The sequence below is a fragment of the Homo sapiens genome, chromosome 4 (genome assembly GCF_000001405.40).
Source record: "Homo sapiens chromosome 4, GRCh38.p14 Primary Assembly".
NCBI classification, from domain to species: Eukaryota; Metazoa; Chordata; class Mammalia; order Primates; family Hominidae; genus Homo; species Homo sapiens.
In genome coordinates, this window is record NC_000004.12 from 113420172 (window position 1) to 113434702 (window position 14531).

General features: G+C 38.3%; 1 long non-coding RNA gene and 1 pseudogene across 5 annotated transcripts in view; one reads left to right on the forward strand and one right to left on the reverse strand.

The window, feature by feature from the left end:
* LOC105377374 (uncharacterized) overlaps positions 1 to 14096 on the reverse strand; it is a 46775-nt gene extending 32679 nt beyond the window's left edge. For 3 of the 5 annotated variants that reach the window (NR_199843.1, NR_199845.1, NR_199846.1), the window contains exons 1-3: positions 14051 to 14096; positions 10436 to 10683; positions 160 to 312 (exon numbers count right to left, since the gene is read on the reverse strand). This is a non-coding gene — a long non-coding RNA (uncharacterized LOC105377374). The remainder of the gene's footprint in view (positions 1 to 159; positions 313 to 10435; positions 10684 to 14050) is intronic. The other 2 variants (NR_199847.1, NR_199844.1) reach the window with 1 other exon arrangement.
* On the forward strand, positions 152 to 315 carry RNU1-138P (RNA, U1 small nuclear 138, pseudogene; annotated as a pseudogene).
* Positions 14097 to 14531: the final 435 nt, after the last annotated feature.

Here is a 14531-nt window from a genome sequence, read left to right on the forward strand (position 1 = left end):
AAAACAAAAAAATGATAAAGAGAAAACATTAAAAGCATCCAAAGGAGTGGGAAAAATACATTATATATACAGGAATGAAGAAAAAATGACAGCAGATTCAGAAATAATCCATGCCAGAAGACATTCAATCAGCAAAGAACTGAAGAATACTATACTTACCTGGCAGGGGAGATACCATGATCACATAGATGGTTTTCCCATGGCAAGTCTTATCCATTGCACTCTGGATGTGCTGACACCTGTGATTTCACCAAATGTGGGAAACTCAACTGCATAATTTGTGGTAGTGGGGGATTTTGTTTGTGCTTTCCCCTGGAAAAAAAAAAAAGAAGAACAACACTAGAAATGGTAAATAAGAGGGTAAAAATGAAATACACTTTTTCTTATTTTGAGTCTCTTTAAAAAATCATTGGCTGTTTAAAATATGTTGTTTAGTAATAGTATATAATGGAATTCATAGGGATTAGTGAAATAAAATGTATAACAGCAATAGCACAAAGGCTGATGGATGGTGGCTGTGGGGGCAGTGGTGAAAGAAAGTTTACTGTACCTGAAGTGGTATAATATTACTAGGAGGTAGACTATGATAAGCTAAAGATATATACTATAAATCTAAGATATAGATATATATCTAAAGATATATACTAGAGATATATGCTAAATACTATAAAGACATATACTAAAAAGATATATACTATAAATTCTAAAGTAACTGTTAAAGATATATACTATAAGTCCTAAAGTAACTACTTAAAAAACAAATAAAAAGTTATAGTAAATAAACCCACTAAGAAGATATGATGGATTCTTAAAAAATAATAATCCAAAAGAAGTCAAGAAAAGGAAGGGAACAAAAAACAGAAGAAACAACTAGAAAACTAATAGCAAAATTGTTCATTTAAACTCAGTTATGTTGATGATTACATTAAATGTAAATGGCCTAACTACCTCCAACCAAAAGGCAGAGATTGTATAAAAAAGCAACCCAACAATAAGCTGTCTATAAAAAATTTACTTTAAATATAAACATACAAATAGAGTAAAATAATGAAAACACATGATGCTAATAATATTTAAAAGTTAGATTTCTTATATTAATATCAGACAATGTAGATTTCAGAACCAAAAATATTAGGATGGATTTAAAAAGATTGTTTCATTATGACAAGGGCTCAACTCATCAAAAGAACATAACAATTCTTAAAGTTTATGAACCTAATATCAGAGCTTCAAATTTTTTGAAGCAAAAATTGGTAGAACTCAAAAAAGAAACAGATAAAATTTATGTTTTAGGTTTGGCAAATAGTCTAATGCCATTAACATAATAAGGAGATATTATAAAATACATGCTTATGAATATTTTATAATTCATCCAGGTACCCCAAAGATTGTGAAATATACATCATTAGAGATAAAGGAAGAGATCCAGTGCGTATATAAAATGAAAAACTAGAATTATTTATGTTGCTCATTCATGTATTCATCTATATATTAATTAAAAAATATTTACCATACTCTATTTTCTTCTGAGATAAAGCTTGCTGTCAAAAATCTAATGGCAATCTGATTTTACTTCCTTTATAAGTGATTTGGTCTTTTGGCTACATTGGCGAAGATTCTTTTTCTTTCCATAAAGTATGGTAATTTGATTATACTATTTCTCAGCAATAGCAATTGTAGGTTGATTTTTCTGAGTTTATAATATGCTTTGATACTATTTTATATTCTCTCTTTTTAAAAATATTTCAAAAAAATTTTTTTTGAATTATGAATTTTAATTATTTTCTTCTGTTTTGGTTTTCTTCTATAAATATCTTCTATTTATGCATCACTTTCAAATATTTTAAAATTCTCTTTTTATAATTTCTTCATTTAAAAATTTTTCTCATTTCATCTGTAACTCTTAAGGCATTATCTATTGCATGTATTCTCTCTGTGGTGTAAAAAAGACTGCACTAGAAGTTTTAGTCCTTGTTTCCAAATCTATTTGTTATTTTATTTCTAATTCCTTCCTTAGTTCTATCCCATCTCTAAGTGTTTCTAATTCTTACTTATGTTGTTTTTCAGAATTCTATTTTTTCTATTCATTTTAGCTCATCCTAAAATATTAGATGTCATTTTTATCTTTTTTGTTGGCATGTTTCTTTCTGGCATGCTGTAGGTTTTATTAGGGATGTTATTCTGCTCCTTATTTTCTCTTCCTTTCCTAGAATAATTTGTATGCAATTCAGTTACAATCAGTTTCTGTTGTTTCTTTTTATGTAAAGTTAATTTTCTGTAACTATAAGGATAGGGTTGGCCAGGATAGCTTTTTTCGATTCACAACTTCAGAGCTTATTATTTGTTCAATTATGAGGTGCTGTACTCTCAGAGACCTCCTGGCTCTTTTTCTCCCATTAGTTTTATTTGAGGCTCTTTTTTTTTTTTTTTTTCTGTGTCCCTATTATCCCTGTCCTGTTTCTGTGGGCTTTTGTTCCAGAAGGGGCCCTTTGGCTGCTTGGTTTCAAGAGTCCACAGGCCCAGGCAAGATTTGCCTAAGAACTAGACTGTGCCAAAGACCCTTTCAGTTTCTGTTATTTTTCTCAAAATTGTCCCACTGTGTGAATTCCAGTGGCTGCCTTTTAGAAATTTGGGGTTCTTCTGGTCTCAGGTCCATCATAGGCCTAATTGTTTTCCTCTGCTTTCCTCAACACAGATGTTTATACTACAAGACTTTGGAACTGGAAAGTGTTCAACCCTACCAGATCTTAATTTTGGTTTGTAGGTGATAAAAATTTGCCTGATTTTTATCAGTCATGGATGTTTTCTGTGTTTTAAGTTATGCAAGCCTAGTCATAATGTCTGTTTTGTGTGTGTGTGTATATATATATATATATATACATATACATATTTGTATGTATTTTTATTGTGTGTGTGTGTATATATATATATATGTATTTTTATTTTTGGTGGATGCATTAGAGGGGAGATTAAAAATCTATGCTGCTTGGCCAGGCATGGTGGCTCACACCGGTAATCCCTGCACTCTGGGAGACTGAGGTGGGAGAATGGCTTGAGCCCAGGAGTTCGAGAACAGCCTGGGAAACATAGGGAGATCCGGTCTTTACAAAAACATGTTTTAAAGAATTAGCTGGGCATGGTGGTGTGTGCCTGTGGTCCTAACTACTCAGGAGACTGAGGTGAGAGGATTGGCTGAGACTGGAAGGTCAAGGCTGCAGTGTGCCATGATCAGGCCACTGCATTCCAGCTTGGGTGACAGGGAGAGATCTTGTCTCAAAAAAAAAAAAAAAAAAAAGCTGCTTCAATATGACACAAAAACTTATGCAAGAAAAGAAAAAATAGATAAGACAGACCTTATCAAAATTAATAAAAACTTTTGTGTGTCAAAGGACACCATCAAGAAAATGAAAAGATGACAAAATAGAAGAAAATATCCGCAAACCATACATCTGATAAGGGTCTAGATACAAAGTATATTTTTAAAAAATTCTTAGAACTTAATTATAAAAAGATAAGCCACTCAATAAAAAATAGGCAAAATATTTGAAATAGATATTTTTCTAAAGAAGATATACAAATGGCCAAAAGCACATGAAAAGATGTTCAGTATCATTAAGCATTAGGGAAATGCATATCAAAACCATGAGTCACCAGTGTACTCCTACTATAATGGCCGTGAGAAAACCTGAAAATATCAAGTATTTTCAAGGATATGGAGAAATTAAAACCCTCATACATTGCTGGTAAGAATGTAGAATGGCCCAGCTACTGAGGAAAACAATTTAGCAGTTCTTCAAAAGTTAAATAGAGTTTTCTAACTATATGACCAGCAATTCCATACCTATATATCTGCCCCAATGCATTAAAAAATATATATACATACCAAAACTTGTACATGATTTTTCACAGCAGCAATATTTATAATAGCCAAAGAATGGAAAGAATTAAGGTATTCATCAATTGATTAGTGGATAAACAAAAGTTGATATACCTAAACAATGGAATATTACTCAGCCACAAAAAATAACGAAGTACTGATACATACTACAATATGGGTGAACCTTGAAAATGTTATGCTAAGTGAAAGAAACCAGACGGAAAAAGACATACGCTGGGTGAATTAATTTATATGAAATGTCCCAAATAGGCAAATCAATAGAGAAAAAAATTAGATTACCAGTTGCCAAAGTATGGTGAGAGAGGGGAAATGGGAGATACAGGGTTTTAAATATCCTAGGACAGTCCTTTCTAACTTCAGATCTATACCATTATTTCTTAAGAAACTTTCTCTAACTAAGGCACAGATCTTAAGCAAAAAAAGTTTTTTTTTTTCTTTTTTTAAATTTTATTATTATTATACTTTAAGTTTTAGGGTACATGTGCACAACGTGCAGGTTTGTTACATATGTATACATGTGCCATGTTGGTGTGCTGCACCCATTAACTCATCATTTAGCATTAGGTATATCTTCTAATGCTATCCCTCCCCCCTACTCCCACCCCACAACAGTCCCCAGAGTGTGATGTTCCCCTTTCTGTGTCCATGTGTTCTCATTGTTCAATTCCCACCTATGAGTGAGAACACGCGGTGTTTGGTTTTTTGTCCTTGCGATAGTTTGCTGAGAATGATGGTCTCCAGTTTCATCCATGTCCCTACAAAGGACATGAACTCATCATTTTTTATGGCTGCATAGTATTCCATGGTGTATAGGTGCCACATTTTCTTAATCCAGTCTATCATTGTTGGACATTTGGGTTGCTTCCAAGTCTTTGCTATTGTGAATAGTGCCGCAATAAACATACCTGTGCATGTGTCTTTATAGCAGCATGATTTATAGTCCTTTGGGTATACACCCAGTAATGGGATGGCTGGGTCAAATGGTATTTCTAGTTCTAGATCCCTGAGGAATCGCCACACTGACTTCCACAATGGTTGAACTAGTTTACAGTCCCACCAACAGTGTAAAAGTGTTCCTACTTCTCCACATCCTCTCCAGCACCTGTTGTTTCCTGACTTTTTAATGACTGCCATTCTAACTGGTGTGAGATGGTATCTCATTGTGGTTTTGATTTGCATTTCTCTGATGGCCAGTGATGATGAGCATTTTTTCATGTGTTTTTTGGCTGCATAAGTGTGTTCTTTTGAGAAGTGTCTGTTCATATCCTTAACCCACTTTTAGATGGGGTTGTTTGTTTGTTTCTTGTAAATTTGTTTGAGTACATTGTAGATTCTGGATATTAGCCCTTTGTCAGATGAGTAGGTTGCAAAAATTTTCTCTCATTCTGTAGGTTGCCTGTTCACTCTGATGGTAGTTTCTTTTGCTGTGCAGAAGCTCTTTAGTCTAATTAGATCCCATTTGTCAATTTTGGCTTTTGTTGCCATTGCTTTTGGTGTTTTAGACATGAAGTCCTTGCCCATGCCTATGTCCTGAATGGTATTGCCTAAGTTTTCTTCTAGGGTTTTTATGGTTTTAGGTCTAACATTTAAGTCTTTAATCCATCTTGAATTAATTTTTGTATAAGGTGTAAGGAAGGGATCCAGTTTCAGCTTTCTACATATGGCTAGCCAGTTTTCCCAGCACCATTTATTAAATAGGGAATCCTTTCCCCCTTGCTTGTTTTTCTCAGGTTCGTCAAAGATCAGATAGTTGTAGATATGCGGCATTATTTCTGAGGGCTCTGTTCTGTTCCATTGATCTATATCCCTGTTTTGGTACCAGTACCATGCTGTTTTGGTTACTGTAGCCTTGTAGTATAGTTTGAAGTCAGGTAGCATGATACCTCCAGCTTTGTTCTCTTGGCTTAGGATTGACTTGGCGATACAGGCTCTTTTTTGGTTCCATATGAACTTCAAAGTAGTTTTTTCCAGTTCTATGAAGAAAGTCATTGGTAGCTTGATGGGGATGGCATTGAATCTTTAAATTACCTTGGGCAGTATGGCCATTTTCACGATATTGATTCTTTCTATCCATGAGCATGGAATGTTCTTCCATTTGTTTGTATCCTCTTTTATTTCATTGAGCAGTGGATTGTAGTTCTCCTTGAAGAGGTCCTTCACATCCCTTGTAAGTTGGATTCCTAGGTATTTTATTCTCTTTGAAGCAATTGTGAATGGGAGTTCACTCAGGATTTGGCTCTCTGTTTGTCTGTCATTGGTGTATAAGAATGCTTGTGATTTTTGTATATTGATTTTGTATCCTGAGACTTTGCTGAAGTTGCTTATCAGCTTAAGGAGATTTTGGGCTGAGATGATGGGGATTTCTAGATATACAGTCATGTCATCTGCAAACAGGGACAATTTGACTTCCTCTTTTCCTAATTGAATACCCTTTATTTCCTTCTCCTGCCTGATTGCCCTGGCCAGAACTTCCAACACTGTGTTGAATAGGAGTGGTGAGAGAGGGCATCTGTGTCTTGTGCCAGTTTTCAAAGGGAATGCTTCCAGTTTCTGCCCATTCAGTATGATATTGGCTGTGGGTTTGTCATAGATAGCCCTTATTATTTTGAGATACGTCCTATCAATACCTAATTTATTGAGAGTTTTTAGCATGAAGGGTTGTTGAATTTTGTCAAAGGCCTTTTCTGCATCTATTGAGATAATCATGTGGTTTTTGTCTTTGGTTCTGTTTATATGCTGGATTATGTTTATTGATTTTCGTGTGTTGAACCAGCCTTGCATCCCAGGGATGAAGCCCACTTGATCATGGTGGATAAGCTTTTTGATGTGCTGCTGGATTCGGTTTGCCAGTATTTTATTGAGGATTTTTGCATCAATGTTCATCAAGGATATTGGTCTAAAATTCTCTTTTTTGGTTGTGTCTCTGCCCGGCTTTGGTATCAGGATGATGCTGGCCTCATAAAATGAGTTAGGGAGGATTCCCTCTTTTTCTATTGATTGGAATAGTTTCAGAAGGAATGGTACCAGTTCCTCCTTGTACCTCTGGTAGAATTCGGCTGTGAATCCATCTGGTCCTGGACTCTTTTTGGTTGGTAAGCTATTAATTATTGCCTCAATTTCAGAGCATGTTATTGGTCTATTCAGAGATTCAACTTCTTCCTGGTTTAGTCTTGGGAGGGTGTATGTGTCCAGGAATTTATCCATTTCTTCTAAATTTTCTAGTTTATTTGCATAGAGGTGTTTATAGTATTCTCTGATGGTAGTTTGTATTTCTGTGGGATCGGTGGTGATATCCCCTTTGTCATTTTCTATTGCATCTATTTGATTCTTCTCTCTTTTCTTCTTTATTAGTCTTGCTAGCGGTCTATCGATTTTGTTGATCTTTTCAAAAAACCAGCTCCTGGATTCATTGATTTTTTGAAGGGTTTTTTATGTCTCTATTTCCTTCATTTCTCCACTGATCTTAGTCATTTCTTGCCTTCTGCTAGCTTTTGAAAGTGTTTGCTCTTGCTTCTCTAGTTCTTTTAATTGTGATGTTAGGGTGTCAATTTTAGATCTTTCCTGCTTTCTCTTGTGGGCATTTAGTGCTATAAATTTCCCTCTACACACTGCTTTGAATGTGTCCCAGAGATTCTGGTATGTTGTGTCTTTGTTCTTGTTGGTTTCAAAGAACATCTTTATTTCTGCCTTCATTTCGTTATGTACCCAGTAGTCATTCAGGAGCAGGTTGTTCAGTTTCCATGTAGTTGAGCGGTTTTGAGTGAGTTTCTTAATCCTGAGTTCTAGTTTGATTGCACTGTGGTCTGAGAGACAGTTTGTTATAATTTCTGTTCTTTTACATTTGCTGAGGAGAGCTTTACTTCCAACTATGTGGTCAATTTTGGAATAGGTGTGGTGTGGTGCTGAAAAGAATGTATATTCTGTTGATTTGGGGTGGAGAGTTCTGTAGATGTCTATTAGGTCCGCTTGGTGCAGAGCTGAGTTCAATTCCTGGGTATCCTTGTTAACTTTCTGTCTCATTGATCTGTCTAATGTTGAGAGTGGGGTGTTAAAGTCTCCCATTATTATTGTGTGGGAGTCTAAGTTTCTTTGTAGGTCACTCAGGACTTGCTTTATGAATCTGGGTGCTCCTATATTGGGTGCATATATATTTAGGATAGTTAGCTCTTCTTGTTGAATTGATCCCTTTACCATTATGTAATGGCCTTCTTTGTCTCTTTTGATCTTTGTTGGTTTAAAGTCTGTTTTATCAGAGACTAGGATTGCAACCCCTGCCTTTTTTTGTTTTCCATTTGCTTGGTAGATCTTCCTCCATCCCTTTATTTTGAGCCTATGTGTGTCTCTGCACGTGAGATGGGTTTCCTGAATACAGCACACTGATGGGTCTTGACTCTTTATCCAATTTGCCAGTCTGTATCTCTTAATTGGAGCATTTAGTCCATTTACATTTAAAGTTAATATTGTTATGTGTGAATTTGATCCTGTCATTAAGAAGTTAGCTGGTTATTTTGCTTGTTAGTTGATGCAGTTTCTTGCTAGCCTTGATGGTCTTTACAATTTGGCTTGTTTTTGCAGTGGCTGGTACCGGTTGTTCCTTTCCATGTTTAGTGCTTCCTTCAGGAGCTCTTTCAGCGCAGGCCGGGTGATGACAAAATCTCTCAGCATTTGCTTATCTGTAAAGTATTTTATTTCTCCATCACTTATGAAGCTTAGTTTGGCTGGATATGAAATTCTGGGTTGAAAATTCTTTTCTTTAAGAATGTTGAATATTGGCCCCCACTCTTTTCTGGCTTGTAGAGTTTCTGCCGAGAGATCAGCTGTTAGTCTGATGGGCTTCCCTTTGTGGGTAACCCGACCTTTCTCTCTGGCTGCCCTTAACATTTTTTCCTTCATTTCAACTTTGGTGAATCTGACAATTATGTGTCTTGGAGTTGCTTGGTGAATCTGACAATTATGTTTCTTGGAGTTGCTCTTCTTGAGGAGTATCTTTGTGGCATTCTCTGTATTTCCTGAATCTGAATATTGGCCTGCCTTGCTAGATTGGGGACGTTCTCCTGGATAATATCCTGCAGAGTGTTTTCCAACTTGGTTCCATTCTCCCCATCACTTTCAGGTACACCAATCAGACGTAGATTTGGTCTTTTCACATAGTCCCATATTTCTTGGAGGCTTTGTTCGTTTCTTTTTATTCTTTTTTCTCTAAACTTCCCTTCTCGCTTCATTTCATTCATTTCATCTTCCATCACTGATACCCTTTCTTCCAGTTGATCATATCGGCTCCTGAGGCTTCTGCATTCTTCACGTAGTTCTCGAGCCTTGGCCTTCAGCTCCATCAGCTCCTTTAAGTGCTTCTCTGTATTGGTTATTCTAGTTATACATTCATCTACATTTTTTTCAAAGTTTTCAACTTCTTTGCCTTTGGTTTGAATTTCCTCCTGTAGCTTGGAGTAGTTTGATCGTCTGAAGCCTTCTTCTCTCAACTCGTCAAAGTCATTCTCCGTCCAGCTTTGTTCCGTTGCTGGTGAGGAGTTGTGTTCCTTTGGAGGAGGAGAGGTGCTCTGCTTTTTAGAGTTTCCAGTTTTTCTGGTCTGTTTTTTCCCCATCTTTGTGTTTTTATCTAATTTTGGTCTTTGATGATGGTGACGTACAGATGGGTTTTTGGTGTGGATGTCCTTTCTGTTTGTTAGTTTTCCTTCTAACAGACAGGACCCTCAGCTGCAGGTCTGTTGGAGTTTGCTAGAGGTCCACTCCAGACCCTGTTTGCCTGGGTACCAGCAGCAGTGGCTGCAGAACAGCGGATTTTCATGAACCACAAATGCTGCTGTCTGATCGTTCCTCTGGAAGTTTTGTTGCAGAGGAGTACCCGGCCGTGTGAGGTGTCAGTCTTCCCCTACTGGGGGGTGCCTCCCAGTTAGGCTGCTCGGGGGTCAGGGGTCAGGGACCCATTTGAGGAGGCAGTCTGCCCATTCTCAGATCCCCAGTTGCGTGCTGGGAGAACCACTGCTCTCTTCAAAGCTGTCAGACAGGGACATTTTAGTCTGCAGAGGTTACTGCTTTTTGTTTGTCTGTGCCCTGCCCCCAGAGGTGGAGCCTACAGAGGCAGGCAGGCCTCCTTGAGCTGTGGTGGGCTCCACCCAGTTCGAGCTTCCCGGCTGCTTTGTTTACCTAAGCAAGCCTGGGCAATCGTGGGCGCCCCTCCCCCAGCCTTGCTGCCACCTTGCAGTTTGATCTCAGACTGCTGTGCTAGCAATCAGCGAGACTCCATGGGCGTAGGACCCTCCAAGCCAGGTGTGGGATATAATCTCCTAGTGTGCCGTTTTTTAAGCCCATCGGAAAAGTGCAGTATTAGGGTGGGAGTGACCCGATTTTCCAGGTGCTGTCTGTCACCCCTTTCTTTGACTAGGAAAGGGAACTCCCTGACCCCTTGTGTTTCCCGAGTGAGGCAATGCCTCGCCCCACTTCGGCTCACACATGGTGCACTGCACCCACTGTCCTGCGCCCACTGTCTGGCACTCCCTAGTGAGATGAACCCAGTACCTCAGATGGAAATGCAGAAATCACCGTCTTCTGCGTCGCTCACGCTGGGAGCTGTAGACTGGAGCTATTCCTATTTGGCCATCTTGGCTCCACCCTGGTCGGATCTGGTTTTTTAGGGCTGAAAGCATATACAGTTTTGGAGGCCCTCTGTAGCTTCTCAGGAATGCACCTGATGTCTTCAAGATGAGGCAAGCATTCCTTCCGCTTTCTTCCAGTCAGCTTTTGAAACCACCATTGCAAGATTATACCTGAGAAAATTATAGTAGTTAAAGAGATTTGCCCTGGCCGGGCGCGGTGACTCATGCCTGTAATCCCAGCACTTTGGGAGGCCGAGGAGGGTGGATCATGAGGTCAGGAGGTCAAGACCCTCCTGGCTAACTCGATGAAACCCCATCTCTACTAAAAGCACAAAAAATTAGCCAGGCGTGATAGGGGGCTCCTGTAGACCCAGCTACTCAGGAGGCTGAGGCAGGAAAATGGCCGACTCATTCTTATTCATTTTGAATTGTTGAATTATTTATTTTATTTTGAAGAGGTTTTCTATAAAAGAAAGCAGAGAAATGGTACAGTAACTGAAGGGATTTGGTACCAAGAATGGTATGTTTTTTGTTTGTTGCTTGTTTTGAAATAGGATAACATGCATTATGTTTTAAAACTGATGGAAATGATTCTTAAAAACAGCAGAGAGTAGCCGGGTGCAGTGGCTCACCCCTGTAATCCCAGCACTTTGGGAGGCCGAGGTGGGCAGATCACTTGAGGTCAGGAGTTTGAGACCAGCTAACACAGTGAAACCCCATCTCTACTAAAAATAAAAAAATTAGCTCAGTGTGGTGGCATGCACCTGTAATCCCAGCTACTTGGGAGGCTGAGGCAGGAGAACCGCTTCAACCTGGGAGGTGGAGGTTGCAATAAGCTGAGATCATGTCACTGCTCCCCAGTCTGGGTGACAGAGGCAGAATCCATCTCAAAAAAAAAAAAAAAAAAAGGTGATGACACTGGAGTGGGAGGGGAGACGGGAAGCAGTGCCCCAGAGGAAGAGCTACCTTAGAAAGAAACACTGAAAGGCCTTCCATTTAACAGGTAGAAGGTGGGAAACTATAATTTCCTACAGACAGGAAAGTAGATTTTTGGATGGACAGCGTGGAACAGCAAGTAAAGTCTTCAGCTTAGTATGAGGAAAAAGGAGACATTAAATTGGGCTTTTGAAGAGATAGGAGAGATAAGAAATGTGGTTAGGGATGGAGACAGAGAAGAATTAGCAGCCTAAGGAAATGTAGGCAGATTGATAGGAACTTTTGAAGGCCCACTAGAATTTTTAGTTACGAATTTTAAAATAAGACAAGTCATCATAGTGGAATATTTTTCTCCTGCCATGATAGGCTGCTTAGATGCTGGTACTGAACATGTCAACAGTTGAATTTAGTCAGGTTAGGCAAAGCCTGAATTAGTCAGGTTAGGCAATTATCCAAGAGTGCAAATGAGTAGATATATGTGTTAAATTTTGAAATATTAATCAAACTTTGCCAGCTGGACCGAAGAGGAGATTCAGATAGATGGAACCAAATATGCAAAGCTATGAAAGAGTGAAATGTTATAGTGTGTTCAGAAAACTACATGTAGTTCTATGTTGTTGGTGCAAAAAGTGGACATGCAGGAAAGGTGTCAGGAGACAATACTACAGACACTAGTGGCCTCGTGTTTTCTGCCAGCAGGTAAATCTACTAAAATATCAGACAGCAAAAGGAATCCAATGGCATATATGGTAAGAATATTAGAATTTACAACAGAGAACTATTGAAGGGTTTTAATTAGAAGGATGATATGATTAGTTTTGTATTGTAGAGAGAGTACCCTGGCAGCAGTGCAGCAATGTGGATTCTATACTGGAGTTGTTAAAGATTGCATATGTGGATTCTGTGGTAGGCAAAGTAATGGCCCTTCAAGGATATTTACCTCCTAATACCCAGAACCTGGGCATGAGTTACTATACATAGCGAAAGTGATTAAGTTAAGGATCTTGGGATGGGTGGATTACCTGTGCAGGCCTAGTGTAGCTACAAAGGTCTTTATAAGGGGAAAGAAGAGGCAGAACAATTAAGAGAAGGCGATGCGACTACAGAAACAGAGAGAAAATGAGGTATATTTGAAGATGGCGTACAGCTGTCTCGAAAATAGAAGAAACCAAGGAGTGCAGGTGGCTTCTAGAAGCTGGAAAAGGCAGGAAAACAGATTCTCCTGAGAGCCTCCAGAAGATACGCAGCCCTTCCAACACCTTCATTCTAGCCCTGTGAGACTTCTGACCCTCAGAACTGTAAGAAAATCAATAAAAGTTGTTTTAAGCCACTAGGTTTCTGGTAATTTGTTACAGCAGCAATAGAATTTCAACTAGGAATTTATTGCAGTAATCCAGGTAATGATGGAGACTTCTGAACAACAGTGAAAACAGCAAACTCACTGGGTAATTATTAGAGATGTGACCGGAGAAAATTAGTGTTCTGATGTCCAGATCAAAAAGAAATTGCTGTCAAAGAGGGAATGTGACAGATGAGTAATTTACTGCCATAAATCATTTTTTTTCCTTCCACAGTACAATAATGTTACTATAAAGTGGCTGCCTAGAAAGAGACTACATTTCTCTGTTCCCTTGCAAGTAGGGATCATGAGGCTTGTTAGTGCTAATGGAATGTGAACAGAAATGCTGTGTGTCACTTTTTAAAGTCAAATAGCTTAAAAAAGAAAAAACCCAGATGTGCATTCTATAGTCTCCCATTCACCATACACTAGGTAAGTGTAGAAGATTCCAAGGTTCTGAGTGGCAGAGCAGCAGAAAGGTGCAGAGCCACAATTTAAAAGAAGGTCCCCAAATCTCCACATGGAAGGTCATCTGCTGACCGGGAATGCCTACATAGGTCTGTATGATAAGGAAGATATATACACTTCTGGTTTTGTAAGTCATTGATTTTGGGGATTTATTTCATAAAAAAATGATATTGCAACTGGGATATTATTTTAACAGAATCCTAAAATATGTGTCATTGTTGAGTAGATAAAATTGATGTAAGATGTTGGAAAGATGGAGAGCCGTGCTATGCAGTGGCAATAAACTTGAAAAAACTTGGCTGACAATAATAAAGGAGTACTTGCCAAACTTGTAGCTCTAAGTTAGAATGTTTGTGTTAGCTTGTTACTGGCCATATTTAGCAAGTTTTTCGAAGAAAGATGAGCTTAGACATGAATTGACACATGTGCAAGCAAAAGTGAAAGGGAATAGAAAGAATCCAGTTATTTGGGATTTCTCACAATTGGAAAATCTGCATGATTCTAGAACTCAAACATGAATAGATAAAACTGAATAAAATTGAACACAAAAAACCTTTACTTTTCTCAGTTAAACAGAGTGACTACATTTCTCCATTCCCTTGCGAGTAGGGATCATGCGCCTTGTTGCATGAATTCCTACCACAGAGCTGGTTCAATATCTAATCAAGAATAATTTCAACTTTGCCAAGTACCAATGACTATGTATGACTCTCATTCACCCCCTCCATCATTGCATTTCATAATGTCACCAGATAACTAGTTAATAAAGCAAAACTAAAAATTTTTAGAACTTACTGCAGTAAGAGAAAATGCCATCTTGATGGAGGCTTAGCAGTGTCTCAGAAGGGAGAAGTCAGAAGTGGGATATTTACAGGGTTTCAGAGTCTGCGATCAATTGGTTAAAGGCAAGGTCAAGGTGGAGAACCGTTTGAAACAGGGCAAAGTACTGTGTGACATAATAGTTTAGGAATGGCTGATGCAATTGAAAGAAAGGTCTTGAACCAAAGCCTTTATAAGTAAGCTGTTTTTATAAGCGAGCCATTCACCCAAGTAAGCAGACTATTGTGCTTGGGGGAAAAAATGATCTGTGGAAATTTCCTGAGGCAAACTATGAAGTTGTTTCTTGATTTACAGACTTGTCTTTCCTAGTCAAAATTTTGCTGGAACAAGCAACAAATTGTGGTCCACAATATTTATCTAAATAATATTGACATATAAGGCATTAATTCTCACACTTCTAGCTATCCCATTCATGCCCCTCCATGACAGGGGGTCA